Source organism: Homo sapiens, chromosome 12, assembly GCF_000001405.40.
Source record: "Homo sapiens chromosome 12, GRCh38.p14 Primary Assembly".
NCBI classification, from domain to species: Eukaryota; Metazoa; Chordata; class Mammalia; order Primates; family Hominidae; genus Homo; species Homo sapiens.
In genome coordinates this window covers 56,728,086-56,753,005 of record NC_000012.12, presented here as the reverse complement: position 1 = coordinate 56,753,005, position 24,920 = coordinate 56,728,086, and the positions used below count along the sequence as shown (strand labels likewise).

At 43.6% G+C, this 24,920-nt stretch overlaps 1 protein-coding gene across 1 annotated transcript, besides 1 other annotated feature; it reads left to right on the top strand.

The window, feature by feature from the left end:
• PRIM1 (DNA primase subunit 1) lies at positions 683-21,426 on the top strand. Its single transcript, NM_000946.3, has 13 exons — positions 683-810; positions 1,811-1,968; positions 5,974-6,080; positions 6,152-6,225; positions 6,825-6,961; positions 8,883-8,941; positions 9,910-10,019; positions 11,169-11,260; positions 11,430-11,571; positions 13,643-13,712; positions 14,481-14,572; positions 18,761-18,859; positions 21,272-21,426. The coding sequence occupies exons 1-13, from the start codon at positions 708-710 to the stop codon at positions 21,289-21,291; spliced, it is 1,263 nt and encodes a 420-aa protein (NP_000937.1). The 5' UTR covers positions 683-707; the 3' UTR covers positions 21,292-21,426.
• Positions 747-1,041: a silencer, noted in NCBI's record as "tiled region #96; HepG2 Repressive non-DNase unmatched - State 1:Tss, and K562 Repressive non-DNase unmatched - State 1:Tss". NCBI's record gives its function as "represses a minimal TATA promoter and a strong SV40 promoter by Sharpr-MPRA in HepG2 and K562 cells {active_cell/tissue: HepG2 | K562}" and the evidence as "EXISTENCE:reporter gene assay evidence [ECO:0000049][PMID:27701403]".

The window sequence follows — 24,920 nt, the reverse complement described above, 5'->3', positions numbered from 1 at the left end:
AGATACTGGTGTCGGCCAGGCGTGGTGGCTCACACCTGTAATCCCAGCACTTTGGGAGGCTGAGGCGGGCGGATCACGAGGTCGGGAGATCGAGACCATCCTGGCTAACACGATGAAACCCCGTCTCTACTAAAAATAAAAAAATAAAAAAATAAAAAAAAATTAGCCGGGCGTGGTGGCTGGCGCCTGTAGTCCCAGCTACTAGGGAGGCTGAGGCAGGAGAATGGCGTGAACCCGGGAGGCGGAGCTTGCAGTGAGCCGAGATCGCGCCACTGCACTCCAGCCTGGGCAACAGAGCGAGACTCTGTCTCAAAAAAAAAAAAAAAAAGATACTGGTGTTATTTCTAAAACATCCAAAAAGTTCACGTGGAGCATCCTTTTTACTTCATCTTAATAACCTAAATCAATATGCTATAGGTCTCACATTTCCGGAGAAGATCCTCTTCCTGGAATGGACGCGGCCTTCTGCCCACAAGAGCGGTGGCCCTAGTGCCCGAACGCGTGGGCAGATCGCAAACTGCTGCGTCTCCCGCAGCCCCCGCGCGCACCAAGTGGGAACTACAATTCCCGGCGGCCCCGGCGGACTGCGGGCCGCCGGGTCAGACAGCCGACCTCGGCCATAAGCGCCTGCGCAGTCGCGGGGCCGCCGGCCGTGCTGTTCCCGCCAATTCCTGTGGTAATCCTTACCGTGGCGAGTTCCGCGCTCAATGGAGACGTTTGACCCCACCGAGCTGCCCGAGCTGCTTAAACTTTATTACCGGAGGCTCTTTCCCTACTCTCAGTACTATCGCTGGCTCAACTACGGTGGAGGTGATGGAGGCGAGGAATGGGTTCGGGAGCGGAGTGTGAGGAGGTTGGAGGCGGGGTGTCCTTAGAATGACAATATGAAGCGCCTTCTGTGCACCAGGCTTTGTGCCGCGCGCCTTCATTTGCTCTCTCGAGCCCGCCCCACCACTTCATAGGTGTAAATGGGCCGAGAGAGGATATAATAAGCCAGCCTGCGGCCACGCTGTAAAAAAAAAAAAAAAAAAAAAAAAAACAGAGCCGCCGCTCCTACCTCTGCGTGGTCAGGCTCACATTAGGTGCCCCGTTTACCTGCAGCGGTGCCCAGGGGGTTACTGGGGCGTAGCGTGAAGCTGCTGAGGCATGGTTTGCATCAGGAGCGGAAGAGCCTCTCTCAGAGGAAGAGAAATACTTTCTTCCTTGCAGCTGAATTTATTAGTGCGAATCGAGGAGAGAGGGGTGGCATTACATATTTAAAATATTTATGCATCTGTTTCATCTTTTGTACCGTTCCCTAGCAAATACGGAATGGTAACTGCTTTCAAATTAGGGACTAGGTCATGTGGATTTTGTTTTGTTTTTCTTTTACATCTACCACGGTGTTGAGCATAGGGGGCTCATTAAAAACATCTTCTCGGGCCGAGTGCCGTGGCTTACGCCTATAATCCCAGCACTTTGGAAAGCCGAGGAGGACGGATTACCTGAGGTCAGGAATTCGAGACCAGCCTGGCCAACATGGTGAAACCCCGTTTCTACAAAAAATACAAAAATTATCTGGGCATGGTGGGTCGCATGCCTGTAGTCCCAGCTACAGCCTCGGGAGGCTGAGGTGGTAGGATCCCTTGAACCCGGGAGGCGGAGGTTGCAGTGAGCCTTTATCGAGCCACTGCACTCCAGTCTGGGCGACAGAGCAGGAAGCAAGCAAGATTCCCTCACCGAAAAAAAAAACTTCTCATTGGCTAAAATTATAATGCCCTGAGCCAAATAAAGTAGCAAATTAACTTTAAAATGTACATTTATTTTGCAGTGATAAAGAATTACTTTCAACACCGTGAATTTTCATTCACATTGAAAGATGATATTTACATTCGCTACCAATCCTTCAACAACCAGAGTGATCTGGAAAAGGAGATGCAGAAAATGAATCCATACAAGATTGATATAGGCGCAGTATATTCTCACAGAGTAAGAAATCTTTTTTTAATATATTTTGTTGTTTTATTTTGTAAACCAAGAATGGGTTGATTCCTCTTGCGTTTTGAGATTAAATTTTTAGAGTTTATTCTAGATGAAAAGCCACTTTTTAATTGTTTGGCAAGTGATTAATCCTTTTTTGTTCTTTGACGTTCTGCATTACTGATGAAATCATTTGGGAGTGAATTGGTTGCATTTTTACTAGGACAAAAAAAATTGAGTATCTAGCTACTAGGAAGAGGAAGTCGACATGATTTAGGAAAGGGAAATAATTAGCCGGGCGTGGTGGTACGCGCCTGTAATCCCAGCTACTGAGGAGGCTGAGGCAGGAGAATCGCTTGAACCCGGGAGGTGGAGGTTGCAGTGAGCCAAGATCGCGCCATTGCACTCCAGTCTGGGCGACAGAGCGAGACTTGGCCTCAAAAAAAAAAAAAAAGAGGGAAATAAAAGAGAATTACATTCTCTTCCACCATGGAAGTTATTCTTTTTTTCTTTTAATTGTTTATTTTTATTGAGGTCAAATATACATATAAAACTTATTATCTTTACCACGTTTAAGTGTACAGTTCAGTCATAATAAACATTTATATTCTTTTTCCTTCATACCCCTGGAGTTATTCTTGATTCCTCTCTTTCTCACATTCCCATACCCATTCTATTAGGAAATCCCTTTGGCTCTACCATAAGTGTATCTAAAATCCAGCCACTACTACCAGTGCTACCAACATTATCATCTCATCTGAATTACTGTAAAAACCTCCTAACAGTTTGCCTTTGTAGAATCTAGAGTCCATTGTCAATACAGAAGCTAGAGTAATCCTTTTAAAACAACTCAGAATCTGTGATTCCTCTGCTGAAAACATTCTCTGGTGGCTGCTCATTTCACTGACTAAAAGTCCTTCTCTCCCCCTCATTCATTCCTGCCACACTGACCCTTGCTCAAGCTGTTTCCACTGCCTAAAACCCATTTCTATACTTGGTTCATCCCCTCACCTCCTTCAAATCTTTGCTCAAATAGCACCTTCTCAGTGAGGTCTACTAAAACCTGCCACTCCTCCCACCCCCTGCCACTGGTATATTCTAAGTACCCTAGAAGAGTGCCTGGCAAGAGACAGTACACTATAAATATTTGTTGAGTGAATGAACAAACCAAAATTGCCCTTCTTCCCCTTCTCAAATATATACACTGGTGGGTGGAGGGAATACATACATAGCATAATAGCTTTTATGTGGAGTTTTTCATGTTATATAACTTGTTACTTGTATCAATCCTCATTCTTTTTACAAAGGAGGAAACAGGCCCAGAGAACTTGAATAGTTTGCACAAGCTCACACACAATTTCTAAATGATAGAGCTGGCACTTAAACCCAGGGTTTCTGACTCTAAATCCCAGACCCGTCTCTCATCATCAAAGTAAGGGGAGAAGAGGTAATAAAAGGCAGGCAGAAAAAAATACTTTGGAGTTGTTTTACTTCCCCTTTATAGGTTGAGAATAAAACTGAAAATGAACTTCTAAGAAGGGTTAGGGTGCCACTCTCTACTTCCTTCTCCTTAATTTCTAAAGGGAGAAAACGTCTCATTTTTTTCTTGGGCCAAGACAGAAGCATCTATAGACCTTTATTTACTTTTTGTGTTTTGTTTTGTGATTTTTGTCAGTTATGTATGCACATGGTTTACAAAATCAAGTACTTCTATTCGGCTTTTAAAAAATCTGCTACCAGGCTGGGCCGGTGGTTCACACCTGTAACTCTAGCACTTTGAGAGGCTGAGGCGAGCAGATAACTTGAGGTCAGGAGTTCAAGACCAGCCTGGCCAACATGGTAAAACTCTGTCTCTACCAAAAAATACAAAAACAGCCGGGCACGGTGGCACATGCCTACAGTCCCAGCTACTCAGGAGGCTGAGGCAGGAGAATTGCTTGAACCCGGTAGGTGGAGGTTGCAGTGGGTCAAGATCACGCCACTGCACTCCAGCCTGGGCGACAGAGTGAGACCCTGTCTAAAAAAAATTCTGCTACCCTTCCCCCTCATTTTTTGCTACCCAGAAGCAACTACTTTCTTTCTTTCTTTTGTTGAGACAAGTCTAGCTCTCTTGCCCAGGCTGGAGTGCAGTGGCTAGTCTCAGCTCACTGCAATTTCTGCCTCCCGGTTTCAAGTGATTCTCCCACCTCAGCTTCCCGGGTAGCTGGGATTATAGGCGCATACCACCACACTTGTCTAATTTTTGTGTTTTTTAGTAGAGACGGGGTTTTGCCATGTTGGCCAGGCTGGTCACGAACTCCTGACCTCAAGTGATCCACCCGCCTTGGCCTCCCAAAATGCTGGGATTACAAGCATGAGCTACCACACCCAGACCCAGAAGCAACCACTTTCTTTTAGCTAAAGCTTTTTTTTTTTTTTTTGAGACAGAGTCTCGCTCTGTCATCCAGGCTGGAGTGCAGTGGCATGATCTCGGCTCACTGCAGCCTCCGCCTCCCGGGTTCAAGCGATTCTCCTGCCTCACCCTCCCGAGTAGCTGGGATTACAGGTGTGTGCCACCACGCCTGGCTAATTTTTTGTATTTTTAGTAGAGACGGGGTTTCACCATGTTAGCCAGGTTGGTCTCGATCTCCTGACCTCGTGATCTGCCCGCCTCAGCCTCCCAAAGTGCTGAGATTACAGTCGTGAGCCACTGCGCCCAGCCCTGTTCAGATTATTTAGAGAGAAATCTTCTAGCTTCCTGCCTGAGTTGGTAGTGGAAGAGTACAGAAGTGGGTGGAAAGGGCTGGGTCTTAACATTCCACATATAAATGTCTAATTATTCCCCTAATATCAATTTGTAATATCAATACAACACACTCTTCAATTGTACTTGTTGTCCAAGTCCAGGGACCTTCTGTTTTATGCTCTCTGGAAAATAATTCAGGTGTCTTCTGCCAGGGAAATGAAAGAGCAGTCACCTAGCTCTGCAAGCTAAGTGTACGAATCTGGGTAGCTAACTGCTTCTTAACTATGCTTTGAACCAATCCTCCTTTTTTTTTTCCTTCAGTCAAGGGTGGCCTTGAAAAATCTTCCTGTTTTTCATCTCAGCTTCACTAAACACGCACTTACTCATTCCAACAATACCTGGTATCACCTATCCCTGAGCCTTTTGGGGGTTCTGAGGTATAAATTGGGTTGCGCCTCTTATCTTTCCTTACTGACAGCCTAAGATTTAGTTTTATGAATCTCCTCAGTAATCACTCCCTTCTGACTTACAGTTATAAAAACTTATGGTGGAATTAACCTCTCAGGTTCTTTTTTTTGAGACAGAGTCTCGCTCTGTCACCCAGGCTGGAGTGCAGTGGCGTGATCTTGACTCACAGCAACTTCCACCTCCCGGGTTCAATGATACTCCTGCTTCAGCTTCCCAAGTAGCTGGGACTACAGGCATATGCCATCACACCCGGCTATTTTTTGTATCTTTAGTAGGGAGACAGTTTCACCATATTGGCCAGGCTGGTTTCAAACTCCTGACCTCAAGTGATCTGCCCGCCTCAGCCTCTCAAAGTGCTGGGATTACAGGCATGAGCCACTGTGCCCAGCTTCTCATAGCCTCTTTATAATAAAGTCTCAATTCAAACTAATTGGGGAGATCTTTTTGAATTATTGAAAAATTTTTAAATACTTCTATGTATGGTAACAAGTAAAGGTTCTTAAAACACCTTGCAATAGGCCATTATTTGTATACGTTCCCTTGTCAGAAAACTAAAAACAGCTTTATTATTATCCTTATTGACCAACAAACATTTATGATGGATATGTATTCATTAAACCCTGCTTTAAGTTGGTGAAAGTTAAGACTCTCATCAATAGTGTATGTGTAAGATCCAAAATAATGAACTTTCACTGTCATAAAGTTGGCATTATATAGTCTCTTTATTTCTGTTTGGCAACTTTTTCCATATGTGTAGAAAATAAGCAGATTTAGCAGTGTGGCAGCTCTTATAGAAACTGATCAATATTTTGTATCTGTAGCCCAATCAACACAATACAGTGAAGCTGGGAGCTTTCCAGGCTCAGGAAAAAGAACTGGTATTTGACATTGACATGACAGACTATGACGATGTGAGGAGATGTTGTAGGTGAGCACTGTGTGTCTTGCTGTTAGGGTGGGTGGTATCACTGACAATGAGTAATGATGACTCTGCTTTAGTTCTGCAGACATATGTCCTAAGTGCTGGACCCTCATGACAATGGCCATACGCATCATTGACAGAGCATTGAAGGGCAAGTATCAGCAGTTTCTGAATGGGGTCAAGTGTAAGAATCGGTTTTCCTCTGACTACTATTAACTATTAGTCTCTGTATTTTGTGATCAAATCTCATTAATTTGTGTGTGTGTGTGTGTGTGTGTGTGTGTGTGTGTGTGTGTGTGTGTGTGACGAGTCTCACTCTGTCAGCCAGGCTGGAGTGCAGTGGTACAATGTCGGCTCACTGCAACCTCTGCCTCCTGGGTTCAAGTGATTCTCCTGCCTCAGCCTCCTGAGTAGCTGGGACTACAGGCGCACGCCACCACGCCCAGTTAATTTTTGTATTTTTAGTAGAGGCAGCGTTTCACCATGTTGGTCAGGCTGGTCTCGAACTCCTGACCTCGTGATCTGCCCACCTCGGCCTCCCAGAGTGCTGGGATTACAGGCGTGAGCTACCACACCTGGCCTAATAAAATAGTTTTTTAAAAAAGAAAGAAATTCCCAGCAGAGAGACCAGGATGGGTAAAGAGATGAAGCAAGAACATGGGGAGCACAGGAAACAACAAGTAATTTAATATACATTAATTAAGGAGTTTATAGATTTGTTTTAAAACCTATTATTTCTCTCTTCCTCAGAGGACTTTGGATTTAAGCATCGTCTCTGGGTATATTCTGGAAGGAGAGGTGTTCATTGTTGGGTCTGTGATGAATCAGTTAGAAAACTGTCTTCTGCAGTACGTTCTGGGATAGTTGAGTATTTGAGCCTTGTAAAGGTAAGATCCTCTTAATTCTAATTTGCATTGCTTTAGTTTCTAGATGTTACCAAGCCTGATATGTTTACTGTCAAAGAAAATGAAACTATCTTTTTTTTTTTTTTTTGAGATGGACTCTCACTCTGTTGCCCAGGCTGGACTGCAATGGCATGATCTTGGCTCACTGCAAGCTCTGCTTCCTGGGTCCAAGCAATTCTCCTGCCTCAGCCTCCCGAGTAGCTGGGACTACAGGCTCCTGCCACTGTGCCCAGCTAAATTTTGTATTTTTAGTAAAGACTGGGTTTCGCCATGTTGGCCAGGCTGGCCTAGAACTCCTAGCCTCAGGTGATTCACCCACCTCAGCCTCCCAAAGTGCTGGGATTACAGACATGAGCCACCACACTGGCCTAAAACTTATCTTTAATGGCATTCACATTGCAGAGTAAATGATCTTACCAATAGATCATTTAAAGTCATAGTAGCTACATGTTTTAAGATATTTCATTTTATTTTGCTATAAATATCTTGCTTTGTGGCATATGTAAAATAATAGATAAAATAGATTTATTATATATAAAATAATAGAACATGTTAAAGTTTGGTTTTGGTTTTGGTTTGTTTTTTTGGTTTTTTTTGTTTTGTTTTGTTTTGTTTTGAGACACGGTCTCACCCTGTCACCCAGGCTGGAGTACGGTAACGTGACCACAGCTCACTGCAGCCTTGACCTCCTGGTCTCAAGTGACCCTTCTACCTCAGCCTCCTGAGTAGCTGGGACTAAAGGCATGCGCCACCACGCCCAGCCAATTTTTTAATTTTTGCAGAAACAAGGTCTCACTATATTGCCCAGGGTGTTCTTGAACTCCTAAACTCAAACTATCCTCCCACTTCAGGCTCCCAAAATGCTGAGATTACAGGTGTGAGCCACTACATCCAGCCTACAAATTTTTTTTTTTTTTTTTGAGACGGAGTCTTGCTCTGTTACCCAGGCTGGAGTGCAGTGGCGCTATCTTGGCTCACCACAACCTCCGCGTCCCGGGTTCAAGCAATTCTCCTGTCTCAGCCTCCCAAGTAGCTGGGATTACAGGCACTTGCCACCACACCCGGCTAATTTTTGTATTTAGCCAGGCGTGTTGGCAGGTGGAAACAGGGTTTCATCATATTGGTCAGGCTGGTCTCGAACTCCTGACCTCAGGTGATCCGCCCGCCTCAGCCTCTCAAAGTGCTGGGATTACAAGTGTGAGCCACTGCGTCCAGCCCTAGAAATGTTTTAATTATAATTATGCATCACTTAACAATAAGGATACATCCTGAGAAATACATCACTTTGCAAAAGTCATGGAGTATACTTACACAGACCCAGATGGTATAGCCTACTATACATCTAGGCTATATGGTATAACCTATTGCTCCTAGGCTACAACCTGTACAGCATGTTACTGTACTCAATACTGTAGGCAATTGTAACACAATGATAGGTACTGATGTAGCTAAACATACCTAAACATAGAAAAGTCACAGTAAAAATACAGTATTGCAATCTTATGGGACCCACCATCTTTTTCTTTTTTTTTTGAGATGGAGTCTCGCTCTTGTCACCCTGGCTAGAGTGCAATGATGCGATCTCGGCTCACTGCAACCTCTGCCTCCCGAGTTCAAGCGACTCTCCTGCCTCAGCCTCCCGAGTAGCTAGGATTACAGGCATGCGCCACCATGCCCAGCTAATTTTTTGTATTTTTAATAGAGATGGGATTCAGGCTGGTCTTGAACTCTTGACCTCAGGTGATCCACCCACCTCAGCCTCCCAAAATGCTGGGATTACAGGTGTGAGCCACCGTGCCCACCATCTTATATGCAGTCCATCATGACTAAAATGTCGTTATGCTGCACATGACTGTATTTATATTGTATACCTGAAGTTCTTTTTTAATGATTTATTTTTCAGGGTGGTCAAGACGTTAAAAAGAAAGTTCACCTAAGTGAAAAAATTCACCCTTTTATCAGGTCTGTTGGAAAAGTCTCCAAGCACTTTAAGGTGTCTGATTTACCGGCATGTGCCTTTAGAGTTACCTTGCTATCAATTTTCACTGCTGGGTAGCATTTTATAATAATAATAGCTATGGTTAATTGAGTGCCTATTTTATGCTGCAGTATTCCTAAAAGGTGCTTTACAGATGTTCTCATTGCTCTTCAAAAAAACCCCACAAGAGACTTGATGGTATCTCCATTTATAGATAAGGAAAATGAGTTTTAGAGAGATTTTATAATGAGCTTGGCATCACACGACAAGTTAGTTGTTAAATTTAGGATTCATGCCCTGGTCTGCCTGACTGTAAAGCCTACTCCAATGCTTTTTCCACTGAATTCACTACTTCTCTAGGATAGTGGAAAAAGCCTTATATTAGGAGTAAAAATTCCTATTCTGCCACTTACTATGATCTTGATAAAATATTGACAAAATATTGCTGCCTCCATTTCCTTATCTCTATGATGGGGAGAACAGCATGCACTCTACCTGTCTCACAGTTGTATCAATGATTAAGTGAAAGAGTAAATGTGATGCATATTTGTAAACTGCAAACATTATATGATTGTTGAGATATTAATACAAGCAATTCACAGTGGAAAGTGTAGGCTGCATCCCACATTCTACTACTGATGTATTATGGTGTCCTGGGTTGGTTACTTTCTACCCTTATTGCGTATATTAACCTTCTAAGTTGTGAGGTTTAAAAAGTAAACATTTCTTGTATACCCATTCTGTGCCAGGTTCTATGTCAGGTTCTTTTCCCTTAAAAGTGTCTCATTTAATTATCATAACCCTGCACAGGGTAGTATTCCCATTTTACCTAGTTAAGTTCTGAAAATGTCATGAAAATAAGCAGTAGTTTTCCCCACAATGGCAGCAATACCTATGTGGCATATGTGTTACTGATAGTGTTGGGACTCTGTTGTTATTGTTGTTCTTACAGAAAATCTATAAACATAATAAAAAAATACTTTGAAGAATATGCCTTGGTTAATCAAGATATTCTCGAAAATAAAGAAAGCTGGGATAAGATTTTAGCCCTTGTTCCTGAAAATATCCTTTCCCGTGATCATTTCTGTGTGAGCTAGTTGTTTTGATCTGTGATATTATAAATGTTAGACATGTCTGCTTGTAAGTTCTCATATACTTATAAGTTTAATCTTTTTTACACAAAATATCTCCTGTATTTCTGGATTTTAGTATCTCTGGTCTGGAACATAATAAAAAATGGGGCCATGTTGCAAATCAGTTTTCTCATTTTGGAAGTTGGTCCTAGAATTAACAGCTAAAGAATGGTGAATTACATAGTCAAAATACATGCAGACCAGGGAAAACTTTACATCATACCTTATAGTTATTTTGGCATTCTTTCTGTTATATCATCACTGTATTTTTACAGGGGAAGATTTCAATGATACAACTGGTGTTGGTTTGGTTTGGGGTTTTTTTGTTGTTGTTGTTGTTTTTAAGACGGAGTCTTATACTGTGTTGCCCAGGCTGGAGTGTGCAGTGGTGTGATCTTGGCTTACTGCAACCTCCGCCTCCCGGGTTCAAACAATTCTCCTGCCTCAGCCTCCCAAATAGCTGGGACTGCAGGCACACGCCACCACGCCCAGCTAATTTTTGTGTTTTTATAGAGACGGGGTCTCACCATGTCAGCCAAGCTGGTCTCAAATGATCCACCCACCTCAGCCTCCCAAAATATTGGGAATACAGGCATGAGCCACTGTGCCCGGCCGGATACAGCTGTTGAGTTTAACATTTGTGGGGTGGGTTGTTTTGTTGTTGAGATGGAGTCTCACTCTGTTGCCCAGGCTGTAGCACAGTGGCACAATCTCAGCTCACTGCAACCTTCACCTTGCAGATTTAAGCAATTTTCCTGCCTCAGCCTCCAGAGTAGCTAGGATTACAGATGTGCACCACCATGCCCTGCTGATTTTTCTATTTTTAGTAGAGATGGGGTTTCACCATGTTGGCCAGGCTGGTCTCGATCTCCTGACCTCACGTGATCCACCCACCTCTGCCTCCCAAAGTGCTGGGAGTACAGGCATGAGCCACCACGCCCAGTCAACATTTATATTTCAAGAAATGTTAATAACTACTTTCTGAATATTTGTAAGACACCCTTGTGGTAATACATACTTAAAACTAAATTGTTCATTGATGTTCCCTAAATGAGTCTGTTCCTTAATGACCCATCACCAATTCATGATGAACTTCAACAAAGCTTCCAAAAGTCTCACAATTCACTTCAGCGTTGGGAGCACTTGAAGAAAGTAGCCAGCAGATATCAGGTATATGCCACTGAAATCTGTATTACAGATATAATAATGCAATTCTTAATTAAATTGATTGCTTTGCCTAGTCAGTTAAAGATGGTTGAAGATCGTTTTTTTAACTTTCTTTAAAGAAATCTTCAACAGTTCCTACTGATCCTCATGTTGGCCTTGTATCTGCTTTTAGAATAACATCAAAAATGACAAATATGGACCCTGGCTGGAGTGGGAGATTATGCTCCAGTACTGTTTTCCACGGCTGGATATCAATGTCAGCAAAGGAATCAATCATCTACTGAAGAGCCCTTTTAGTGTTCATCCTAAAACAGGTACTACACAAGGAAACTAAGGAAAACTAAAAGAAAAATGAGTTGCTATTGGCTTTAGTAAGCATGGCATTAGGTCTGAATATATATAATGTCTATGATTTAAAGGTAGAAGAATTGCTCTGTCACCCAATACCTAAGTCAGTTAAGTAGCTACCAGATGAGTTTCTACTATGTAACTGTTTTTCAGTTGGGTTTCTGAGGTTCCATATTAGATTTGGAGAGGACCATCAAAATCTTAGGACAACAGCTCTCATTGTACAGATGAGAAAACAGTGGCCCAAGATGTAACCCATCCAAGGTCATAAAAAAAAAATTGTGTGTGACTGTATGTGGTAGCTTGCTCCTGTAATCCCAGCACTTGAGGAGGGCAAGGTGGGCAAATCACTTGAGCCCCAGAGTCTAACACCAGCCTAGGCCACATGTCTAAACACCCTTTGTACAAAAAATACAAAAATTAGCTAGACGTGGTGGTGCATGCCTGTAGTTCCAGCTACTCAAGAGGCTGAGGCAGGAGGATCACTTGAGCCTGGGAAGTTGAGGCTGCAGTGAGCTGTGATGGTGCCACTGCACTCCAGCCTGGGCAACAGAGTGAGACCCTGTCTCAAAAAAAAGAAAAAAAGAAAGAAATGAAATGAACTCTACTCCTAGCACTGACAAAAACAAAAAAAAATTTTTTTCGAGAAAGAGTCTCACTCTGTCACCCAGGCTGGAGTGCACTGGTGCAATCTCGGCTCACCGATCGGCTCAAGCGATCCTTCTGCCTCACCCTCCTGAGTAGCTGGTACTACAGGCATGTGCTACCACAGCCAGCTAATATTTTGTAGACAGGGTTTTGCCATGTTGCCCAGGTTGGTCTTGAACTCTTGAGCTCAAGCAATTCACCTGCCCCAGTCTCCCAAAGTGCTGGGATTACAGACAAGAGCCACTGCGCCCAGCCTCATTACGTCACTTTTGAGATGTGTTAAATTCTATATGGTATCCTAGGGGGGTATTATAAAAGAGTAGAGGAATTTCTATTTTATTTCCTAAATGCTTTTTAAAGGTGTCTGACATGTGGGTATCTGTATTGATCTCAAATAAACCAAGCCAATGTAAATATTATAGTTTCATCTATTTTGTTCTATTTTCAGGACTCACTAACTCTGAGATTGTTCTGAACTTAAATATGGAATATTTAAATATACTTTATTTCTAAATATAGAAATAAAAGTAGGGATAAGAGCAACTGGGAAATAGCTCAACAGTCTTCACATTTGCTTATTGGTTTTTGTTTTTGTTTTTTTTCTTTCCTTTTTTTTCGAGACAGAGTCCCACTCTGTCACCCAGGCTGGAGTACAGTGGCGCGATCTTGGCTCACTGCAGCCTCTGCCTTCCAGGTTCAAGCAATTCTCTGCCTCACCCTCCCAAGTAGCTGGGATTACAGGTACCCGCCACCACACCCAGCTAATTTTTGTATTTTTAGTAGAGACGGGGTTTCACCATCTTGGCCAGGCTGGTCTTGAACTCCTGACCTTGTGATCCACCCTCCTCAGCCTCCCAGAGTGCTGGGATTACAGGCGTGAGCCACTGCACCTGGCTGGTTTTTTAAAGAGAAATAAAAGGCATGCTGGACATGGTCATTCACACCTGTAATCCCAGCAACTCAGGAGGCTGAGGCAAGAGGATTGTTTGAGGCCAGGAGTTCTGGGCAACATAGTGAGACCCCAACTCAACAAAAATTGAAAAACTGGCCAGGCCAGGAGCAGTAGCTCACGTCTATAATCCTAGCACTTTGGGAGACAACTGAGGTGGGAGGATCACTTGAGCCCAGGACATCAAGCCTGCAGTGAGCTATGACCATGCTACTGTATGTACTCTAGCATGGGTGACAAAGTGAGGCATTAACTCTAAAAAAGAGTAAGGGCACAGCTAATGTGAAAGTAATTTATATTTCTAAATACTCTTCTTAACAGATAAGTTTAACCCTTTGTCTAAGCCTTAAATAAAAATTTTAACCAAAAATAACCTGTAGGAGATGACTATAATGATTTATAGTCCACAATCATCAGTTTATAACTTTTGTGTCTTACAGGTCGCATATCTGTGCCTATTGATTTGCAGAAAGTGGACCAGTTTGATCCATTTACTGTTCCGACCATAAGGTATGTTTCAGATCATTGATCACTCCTTGTTTGTAATTGTTGTTATGAATTTTAAATAAATTGAATTAGCCTCCTTAGAGAAGTAGTTGCATGGGAATGGTATATTTGGTTATGGAAACCAAATAAGGTTCAAAGGTTAGATGACGATGCCCTAATAGAACAATACAAGATTTTCACCTGCTGTTATGTAAGAAAAAGATTTTAAGGTCAAGTAAATTTAGGAAATTCTGACTTAAACAGATTAAAAGTATCTTTTACTACAGTATTTCACAGTCTTTCATATGATAATATGCATGAAAAACTCCAAGAAGAGATCATGGTGTTTAGAATATCCCAAATTTAGCTGGCCGCATAATTTTTTTACAGTAAATTTTATGGGATTCACATGCTATTATACACTGGATAATGCTGATCAGAAACCAACATTAAACTTCTCTTGTTCGTGGTGAGGCGCGGTGGCTCATGCCTGTAATCCCAACACTTTGGGAGGGCAAAGCGCGTGGATCACAAGGTCAAGAGATCGAGACCATCCTGGCCAACATGGTGAAACCCTGTCTCTACTAAAAATACAAAAATTAGCTGCGCTTGGTGGCATATGCCTGTAGTCCCAGCTACTTGGGAGGCTGAGGCAGAAGAATCACTTGAACCTGGGAGGCGGAGGTTGCAGTGAGCCAAGATCGCACCACCACACTCCGGCCTGGCAACAGAGCAAGACTCCGTCTCAAAAACAAAAACAAAAACAAAATTCTCTTGTTCTGTTACTTGCAGCTTCATCTGCCGTGAATTGGATGCCATTTCCACTAATGAAGAGGAAAAAGAGGAGAATGAAGCTGAATCTGATGTCAAACATAGAACCAGAGGTAAGGTAATATTTTGAAGCTTCACTTTAAATACAGGGTTTTTATATAGATATCCATCTGTCACTCCAGTAATTAATTCTCTGATTCAACTAGAATGGATCAGCATTTGTCCTGGAACTGCATACAATGTTTGTGTCCTTTCTTCAACAGCAGCCCAAGTGGTGTTATTGAATCCAGTCTGATTCAACACATATTTCCTAAGTAACTTTTAATGCTAGGATCTATACTGTAAGATTAAACTATCAATAAGTATGAATAATCAGTCTCTGAGATTCACCACCTATTTATTTAACAACTATTATATATGCAGTACTTTTTTTCTTTGTTTCTGATGCATATAGGTGGGTTTTATGGTAAACATATGTCTAAACTGTTTACCAAGTTGTATATTCAAGAATTTGAAGAAGCTGGCTGGGCGCAGTGGCTCACGCCTGTAATCCCGGCTCTTTGGGAGGCCGAGGCAGGCAAATCACTTGAGGTCAGGAGTTCAAGACCAGCCTGGCCAACATGGTGAAACCCCAACTCTGCTAAATATACAAAAATCAACCAGGCATGGTGGAGGGCACCTGTAATCCCAGCTACTCGGGAAGCTGAGTCAGGAGAATCGCTTGAACCCAGGAGGCAGGGGTTGCAGTGAGCCAAGATTGTGCCACTGCACTCCAGCCTGGGCGGCAGAGGGAGACTGTCTCAAATAAACAAACAAAAAAAAAGAATTTGAAGAAGCTAAGGAATTTCTAAATCTTCCTGCTAATGGAAGGCAAATCTAACACCTAAGAGATACTGCAGGCCAGGCGCGATGGCTCACACCTGTAATCCCAGCACTTTGGGAGGCCCAGGTGGGTTGATCACCTGAGGTCCTGAGTTCGAGACCGGCCTGACCAACATGGAGAAACCCTGTCTATCCTAAAAATACAGAATTAGCCGGCTGTGGTGGCACATGCCTGTAATCCCAGCTGCTCGGAAGGCAGAGGCAGGAGAATCGCTTGAACTCAGGAGGTGGAGGTTGCGGTGAGCCAAGATCACGCCATTGCACTCCAGCCTGGGCAACAAGAGCAAAACTCCGTCTCAAAAAAAAAAAAAAAGATGCCGCATAGCAGCGCAGCACTCCCCAACCTTTTTGGCATCAGGTACCAGTTTTGTGGAAGACAATTTTTGCACGGACTGCAAAGAGAGGGGGAGGAGTTGGGGATGGTTCCAGGATGAAACTTTTTTACCTCAGATCATCAGGCATTAGATTCTGATAAGGAGTGCGCAACCTAGATCCCTCACATGCGCAGTTCACAATAGGGTTCATGCTCCTTTGAGAATTTAGTGCTTCTGCTGATCTAACATAAGGCAGAGCTCAGGCGGTAATGCTCGCTTACTGCTCACCTCACACCTGTAATCCCAGCACTTTGGGAGGCCGAGGCAAGAGGAGCCTAGGAGTTTGAGACCACCCTGGGCAACACAGAGAGACCCTGTCTCTCCAAAAAAAAAAATTTAGCTAGACATGCTGGCAGGCACCTGTGGTCTCAGCTACTCAAGAGGCTGTTTGAGCCCAGGAGGTTAAGGCTGCAGTAAGCCTTGACCACACCACTGTACTCCAGCCTGGGTGTCAGAGAGAGACCTTGTCTCAAAATGAAAATTATGTGGCCGGGCGCAGTAGCTCACGCCTGTAATCCCAGCACTCTGGGAGGTCAAGGTGGGTGGATCACCTGAGGTCAGGAGTTTGGGACCAGCCTGGCCAACACGGTTAAACCCCGTCTCTACTAAAAATACAAAAATTAGCCAGGCATGGTGGTGCACACCTGTAGTCCCAGCTATTCAGGAGGCTGAGGCACAAGAATCACTTGAGCCCGGGAGGCAGAGGTTGCAGGGAGCTGAAGTTGCGCCACTGCACTCCAGCCTGGGAAACAGAGTGAGACTTCGTCTCAAAAAAAAAAAAAGTATAATTTCTTTCTTACTCTTTTTAAAGAACTATTATGAGGATTCTTAATTCCATGCAAACGTAGGATACTACTAAAATCCAAATTTTATGTGAAACTCCTTTCTTATTCTCAATCATATTTTCCCATTGGGTATCATTATAGGTTATATAATTAAATGGATGAATAAAATTGTATATTCTTTTTTTTTTTTTTTTTTTTTTTTTTTTTAGAGAAAGAGTCTTACTCTGTCACCCAGGCTGGTGTGCAATGGTGCAATCTCAGCTCATTGCAACCTCCGCCTCCTGGGTTCAAGCAATTCTCCTGCCTCAGCCTCCTGAGTAGCTGGAGTTACAGGTGCCCGCCACGACGTCCAGCTAATTTTTGTATTTTTACTAGAGACAGGGTTTCTCCATGTTGGTCAGGCTGGTCTCGAACTCACGACCTCACGTAATCCACCTGCCTCGGCCTCCCAAAGTGCTGGGATTATAGGCATGAGCCACCGCACCCTGCCTATATTAAATTTTTTGTTGTATACATTTTTTAAACTATTTTATAAATCAAAGAATACTTAATGCAGGCCAGGCGTAGTGGCTGATGCCTGTAGGCCCAGCACTTTGGGAGCCTGAGGCGGGTGGATCACCTGAGGTCAGGAGTTCAAGACCAGCCTGGCCAACATGGCGAAACCCCATCTTTACTAAAAATACAAAAATTATCTGGGCGTCGTGGCGGGCGCCTATAATCCTAGCTACTCGGGAGGCTGAGGCAGAAGAATCGCTTGAACCCAGGAGGTGGAGGTTGCAATAAGCCGAGATTGCCCCACTGCACTCCAGCCTGGGAGACAGAGCAAGACTCCATCTCAAAAAAAAAAAAACAAGAATACTCAATGTAAAAACTTCTAATAATCTCCAAAAGGGCGTGACCAGAGCCTGAGCAACACAAGACCTTGTCTCTACTAAAAATAAAAAATTAGCCAGCTGTGGTGGCACTCCCTGTGATCCCAGCTACTTGGGAGGCTGAGGTGGGAGGATCATTTAAGCCAGGGAAGTCAAAGCTGCAGTGAGCTGCAATTGCACCACTGCATTCTAGCCTGGGCAAAAAAGCAAGACAGTGTCTCAAAAATAAGACATGGGGCCGGGCACGGTGGCTCACGCCTGTAATCCCAGCACTTTGGGAGACTGAGGCAGGTGGATCACGAGGTCAAGAGATCAAAACCATCTTGGACAGCATGGTGAAACCCCGTCTCTACTAAAAATACAAAAACTTAGCCGGGCATGGTGGCACACACCTATAGTCCCAGCTACTCAGGAGGCTGAGGCAGGAGAATCGCTTGAACTCGGGAGGCGGAGGTTCCCGAGCCAAGATTGCACCACTGCATACCAGCCTGGCAACAGAGCAAGACTCAAAAATAAAGGCATGGACCGGGCGCGGTGGCTCACGCCTGTAATCCCAGCACTTTGGGAGGCCAAAGTGGGTGAATCATGAGGTCAGGAGTTTGAGACCAGCCTGGCCAACATGGTGAAACCCTATCTCTACTAAAAATACAAAAAATTAGCTCATTGTGGTGGCGGGCACCTATAATCCCAGCTAGTCGGGAGGCTGAGGTAGGAGAATTGCTTGAACCTGGGAGGCGGAAGTTGCAGTAAGCCGAGATCGCACCATTGCACTCCAGCCTGGGCAACAGAGTGACACTCTGTCTCAAAAAAAAAAAAAAAGAAAATATATGTATATATATTATATATATATATATAAATATAAAAGACTTGTATGAAAGAGAGTATCATATATCTCAATTTTTATTACATGCAAAAATAATATTTTAGCTGGGCATGGTGGCATGTGTCTGTAATCCCAGCACTTTCAGAGGCCGAGGCTGGGAGATCACTCGAGCTCAGGAGTTCAAGACTAGCCTGAGCAACAGAGTGAGACCTCGTCTCTACAAATACCAAAAAAAAAAAAAAAATTGGTTGGGCATGGTGGTACATGCCTGTAGTTATAGCTACTCAGGAAGCAGAGATGGGAAGATCCCTTGAGCCCAGTAGATCGAGGCTGCAGTGAGCCAAGACGGAACCACTGTACTTCAGTCTGCATGACAGAGTGAAATCCTGTCTCAGTAATAATTTCACCTTTTTTAATGTGACTAATATAGTATTTAAAAGTATGTATGTTTCTCTCATATTTCAATTGGGCAGCCCTAGAGAATTCTTATAAGAAACTTAGTTGTGTTTTCATGTTATTCTTGCTGCCAGTATGCTAATTATAATGTACATTCTTCATAATTTAGATTATAAGAAGACCAGTCTAGCACCTTATGTGAAAGTTTTTGAACATTTTCTTGAAAATCTGGATAAATCCCGAAAAGGAGAACTTCTTAAGAAGAGTGGTAAGACGCTATGCCTTTCCCTTCTATCTAGTTAGATCTTATTATTAGTAGAAATGAGCAATTTTTGAGTTCTAGTCTTTCTTTGCCCTCCTCCCAAAATTTACAGATTTATCTTACTATCCTTAATGTTTTGGAAATTGAGGTTCCTTAATTCAATTTAACACATAGTTATTAAACACATTCTAAGTATCAGGTCTATAAGGGAGACAAAGATGAATTAACATCATGCCTCCTTGCCCTTAAGAAGTACTAACTTGGCCAGGCACGGTGGCTCACGCCTGTAATCCCAGCACTTTGGGAGACCAAGGCAGTTGGATCACTTGAGGTCAGGAGTTCGAGACCAGCCTGGCCAACATGGTGAAACCCTGTTTCTACTAAAAATACAAAAAATTAGCTGGGCGTGGTGGCAGGCACCTGTAATCCCAGCTACTCAGGAGGCCGAGACATGAGAATCGCTTGAACCGGGGAGGCAGAGGTTGCAGTGAGCTGAGATCACACCATCGCACTCCAGCCTGGGCAACAGAGCAAGACTCCATCTCAAAAAAAAAAAAGAAGTACTAACTTAATACAAAAAAAAAAGTACAAAATGCTAAGAAAGAGATTTTATCTGATGGACTCTGAGATTTCATATGAAAATGGTGGTATCTGAACTCCTTTCAGTGTAGCTGCTGTAAGAATTCTAATCCCTAGCCGGGTGCAGTGGCTCACACCTGTAATCCCAGCACTTTGGGATGCTGAGGCAGGTGGATCGCCTGAGGTCAGGAGTTCAAAACAAGCCTAGCCAACATAGTAAAACCCCATCTCTACTAAAAATACAAAAAATTAGCTGGGTGTGGTGGTGGGAGCCTGTAATCCCAGCTACTAGGGAGGCTGAGGCAGGAGAATCACTTGAACCCAGGAGGCAGAGGTTGCAGTGAGCTGAAATTGTGCCATCGCACTCCAGCCTGGGCAACAAGAGCAAAACTCCGTCTCAAAAAAAAAAAAAAACCCTAGGCCGGACACGGTGGCTCACACCTGTAATCCTAGCACTTTGGGAGGCCAAAGCAGGTGGATCACCTGAGGTCAGGAGTTCAAGACCAGCCTGGCCAACACGGTGAAACCCCGTCTCTACTAAAAATACAAAAATTAGCCGGGCGTGGTATTGTGCGCCTGTAATCCCAGCTACTTGGGAGGCTGAGGCAGGAGAATCACTTGAAGCTGGGAGGTGGAGGTTGCAGTGAGCCAAGATCGCACCATTGCACTCCAGCCTGGGCAACAGAGCAAGACACTATCTCAAAAAAAAAAAAAATTTCTAATCCCTAATGCCAATATACTATACCATAAGGTATGAGAAGGATTTCCACAAGCAGAAATATGATAAGATAAAGGGTATGGAGGTGGAAAAAGGCCAAGGGTTGTTCATTCTTGAAGGAACATCAAGAGCAAAGACAGACAGGAAAGCATCCAGTTACTCTGGAAGCCATCAAGTAGTACAGCTAATCTAGTATATGGTGTGTCCAGAAGTGATGGGCTATAAATCCAAAGAAGCAAACTGAATGGCCTTGAATTCCAAGCTTATGTGTTTGGGCTTGGTTTTGGGCTTAATAGGAAGCTTTTAAAAGTTCTGAGGAAGGGAATGCCATGATTTGTAGTTTTTATCTAGAAAGATAAATCTGGGCAAGACAGGGACTAGAATAGAGCCCAAGAGGCCAACTGCGCTATTGCCACTAGAACAGTAGCACTGGAGATCTCCGAAAGGTGCAAATACTGGAACCATCCTTGAGACTTGCTAATGATTTAGAAGTGAAGAGATGAAAGATGGAAGGGAAAATGTTATAGAAGCCAGGGGAAAGAAAAGTGCAAGATTATCAAGTGTCAGGTACAGTAGGAAACTAATAAAATCCTGCTGCATATAATAACTGGAAAGAAACACAAAGAGGATAGCAGTGTCAAATGAAGGGTACTCTAAATGGGAGACATATGAGCATATGTATAAGCCAATATGAAAAAAATCAGCAGATTGAATATTATTCAAGAGATGAAGGCTACTCTAGAAAACTGTGACAATGTTATAGCAATACAAATTATCTTGCCACTTCATTTTTTATTTAAATATGTGATAGTTTAAGCAGTAGTGCCTAAGATAATGCTCTACTCAGTAGACACTCATATGTGTGATTATTGGATGAACAACAACTCTGAGCTTGGAAAGCCTGGTTGAAGCTGCCATTGCAACTGGCCGTATTAAGTCCTTTGTATCCTCACTGTTCCATACTAGCTCAGCCTATGATGTGGACTTCAGCAAATGTGTAAGCAAATCTTTGTGCATGATGTGTGTTAAATAGAAGCATTAGGCAAAAAAGAATGTAAAAGTAAATGGGCTTTGTTTTGTTTCCTTTGCTGTTCTTCCATATATTATCTATTCTATTTTAGATTTACAAAAAGATTTCTGAAGACAGAGCTCCTCAAACCATTGTGGATATCTTCTGCCTTCAACCACAGATCAAATACTTCAAGAGCCATTTAATAAATATGGCAGAACTATATATGTGTCTTAAACCTCAAAGTAAATTTTCCTTGAGAAATAATTTATGTTGAAAAGATTTCCTGGCCAAGTGCAGTGGCTCACACCCGTAATCCCAGCACTTTGGGAGGCCGAGGCAGGCGGATCACCTGAGGTCAGTAGTTCGAGACTAGCCTGGCCAACATGGTGAAACCCCCGTCTCTACTAAAACTACAAAAATCAGTCGGGTGTGGTGGTGCATACAGTAATCCTAGCTACTTGGGAGGCTGAGGCAGGAGAATTGCTTGAACCCAGGAGGCAGAGGTTGCAGTGAGCTGAGATCACAGCCACTGGGCGACAGAGCGAGACTCCATCTCAAAAAAGAAACAAAACAAAAAAAAAAGTAAGATTTCCTGAGACGACCAAGGAGAGTGTCAAGGTTCCTGGAAGGAGAAATAAAAGGAGGCATAAGTGGATTGCAGATAATTTTGTAAAATTCAATATTCTACAAGGATAATTCTAAGGCTTCTGATATAAATACCCAGTTCTACTAGTTGCCATATATAGAGGTAAGTGAGCAGTAATAGGACTGTCATCTCAGCTCACTTGATACGTCATATGTTTGGGTGAATGATGGTTTTGTCCTTAAGTTTTAGACATTTAATTATATCTAGAGGGCCAGGCACAGTGGCTCATACCTGTAATCCCAACACTTTGGGAGGCCAAGACAGGCAGATCACCTGAGGCCAGGAGTTCTTTTTTTTTTTTTTTTTTTTTTGAGACAGAGTCTTGCTCTGTCACCCAGGCTGGAGTGCAGTGGCACGATCTTAGCTCACTGCAAGCTCTGCCTGCCAGGCTCATGCCATTCTCCTGCCTCAGCCTCCCAAATAGCTGAGACTACAGGTGCCCGCCACCACGCCCAGCTAATTTTTTTTGTATTTTTAGTAGAGACGGGGTTTCACTATGTTAGCCAGGATGGTCTCGATCTCCTGACCTTGTGATCTGCCTGTCTCAGCCTCCCAAAGTGCTGGGATTACAGGTGTGAGCCACCACACCCGACTGAGGCCAGGAGTTCAAGGCCAGCCTGGCCAACATGGTGAAACCCGGTCTCCACTAAAAATACAAGAAAATTAGCCAGGTGTGGTGGCGGGCACCTGTAATCCCAGCTACTAAGAAGGCTGAGGCAAGAGAATCACCTGAACCCATGAGGTGGAGGTTACAGTGAGCTGAGATCACGCCACTGCACTCCATCCTGGGCAACATAAATAAAAATTATAAAATAAATAAAACGTATTAAACTTGTGAAAATACTTGGGACTTTTTATGTATCTAGGTACTTCAGTTTTTAAAGTTTGATTTTGTGAGATGGGTTCTAATATGTCCGATTTCTCTTGCCCTGTTTTACAACTAATCTAAACAAAACAGTCATTCTAGTTTATATTCTGTCTTCCGAGAAACATTGAGAAGCAAGCTGTCAGGCTGGTGCTTTTAATGACAATGAAAATTTTCCTTCCTTTGCATTTCCTTTAACATTGTTTCCTCTACAATCAATCTTTTCTTATCTTCTGGTTTATATGAAACAGACTCTATAATGCAGTCAACACATTGATTCCTTGACCTATATTTTAAGAAAATTCCTGCTGGGTGCAGTGGCTCACACCTATAATCCCAGCACTTTGGGAGGCCGAGGCAGGTAGATCACTTGAGGTCAGGAATTTCAGACCAGCCTGACCAGCATGGTGAAACTCTGTCTCTACTAAAAATACAGACCTGGTGATGCACGCCTATAATCCCAGCCACTTGAACCCGGGAGGCAGAGGTTGCAGTGAGCCGAGATTGCACCATTGCACTCCAGCCTGGGCAATAAGAGTGAAACTCCGTCTCAAAAAAAGGAAAATTCCTCGTTGTTTGGTTTTTTCGTTTGTTTATTTGTTTGTTTTTGAGCCAGAGTCTCACTCTGTCATCTAGGCTGGAGTGCAGTGGAGCAATCCGCCTCCCTGCAACCTCCACCTCCCAGGTTCAAGCGATTCTCCTGCCTCAGCTTCCCGAGTAGCTGGGACTGCAGGTGCACGCCGCCACGCCCAGCTGATTTTTTGTATTTTTAGTAGAGACAGGTTTTCACCATGTTGCCCAGGCTGGTGTCGAACTCCTGAGCTTGGGCAATCCACCTGCCTTGGCCTCCCAGGTGTGAGCCACCTCACCTGGCCCAAAAACTCTTCATTATTTGAGCTTATGTGTACTATAGGTTATTAAGTCTTCAGGTTCTAGAAACAGTGGGTCGATTAAAACTCCTGAATACAAAATTACTAGAGACTCATTATTCCAGAACTAATCAGTAAAGAACTCAGAAGGAGAGTGGAAAGACTGGTATGCTTTTAAAAAGAGACTTTTTTTTTTTTTTTTTTTTTTGAGACGGAGTCTCACTCTGTGGCCCAGGCTAGAGTGCAGTGGCGCCATCTCGGCTCACTACAAACTCCACCTCCCAGGTTCGCGCCATTCTCCTGTCTCAGCCTCGTGAGTAGCTGGGATTACAGGTGCGTGCCATCATGCCCAGCTAATTTTTTGTATTTTTAGTAGAGATGGGGTTTCACCGTGTTAGCCAGGATGGTCTCGATCTCCTGACCTCGTGATCCACCCGCCTCGGCCTCCCAAAGTGCTGGGATTACAGGCGTGAGCCACCACGCCCGGCCTCAAAAAGAGACATTTTCAGCTTTCATTATCATTTTATAAATATGTCTAGCATTGAAGTGCCTTAACTCCTGGGCTCAAGGGATCCTCGTGCCTCAGCTTCTGGAGTAGCTGGGACTACAGATATGCGCCACCTTGCCAGGCTTACGTTTTATTTTGTTGTGGAGACGGGGTCTTGCCATCTTACCCAGGCTGGTCTCTAATTCCTGAGTTAAGCAGTTCACCTGCCTTGGCCTCCCAAACTGCTGAGATTACAGGTGTGAGCCACGGCGCCCAGCCAATGTTTAGTTCTTAAAGACAGCAAAAATATACCCAAGGACTACTGACTTCCCCTTTTCTTGATTTGCCAATTCAGTCACATATTAGAACTGTAGAAACAAAGGGGCAAAGAAATGGCTTCTATCTTCAAAATTGCCAACTTAAGAAACACGCTAGCCGGGTGTGGTGGCTCACACCTGTAATCCCAGCATTTTAGGAGGCAGAGTGGGCAGATCACTTGAGGCCAGGAGTTCAAGACCAGCCTGGGCAACATGGCAAAACCCCGTCTCTACAAAAAATACAAAAATTAACTGGGTGTGGTGTTGTGTGCCTGTAGTTCCAGCTACTCGGGAGGCTGAGGTGGGAGAATCGTTTATGCCCAGGAGGCGGAGGCTGCAGTGAGCCATAATCACCCCACTGTACTCTAGCCTGGGCAACAGAGCCAGACCCTGTCTCAAAAAAAAAAAAGGAAAAAAAAATACATCCTTCCTTGGCTAGTCATTACTACAGAGAGAGGAAAAAGTAAGTGGGCTTGCTGGGGAAGAAAGAAAAATTGTGAATATGTACTTTTGTCTAAGGAAATTGGCTATTTCTGGTCCTTCTGAAGGTAAATGGACTAAAGGACTGCATTGA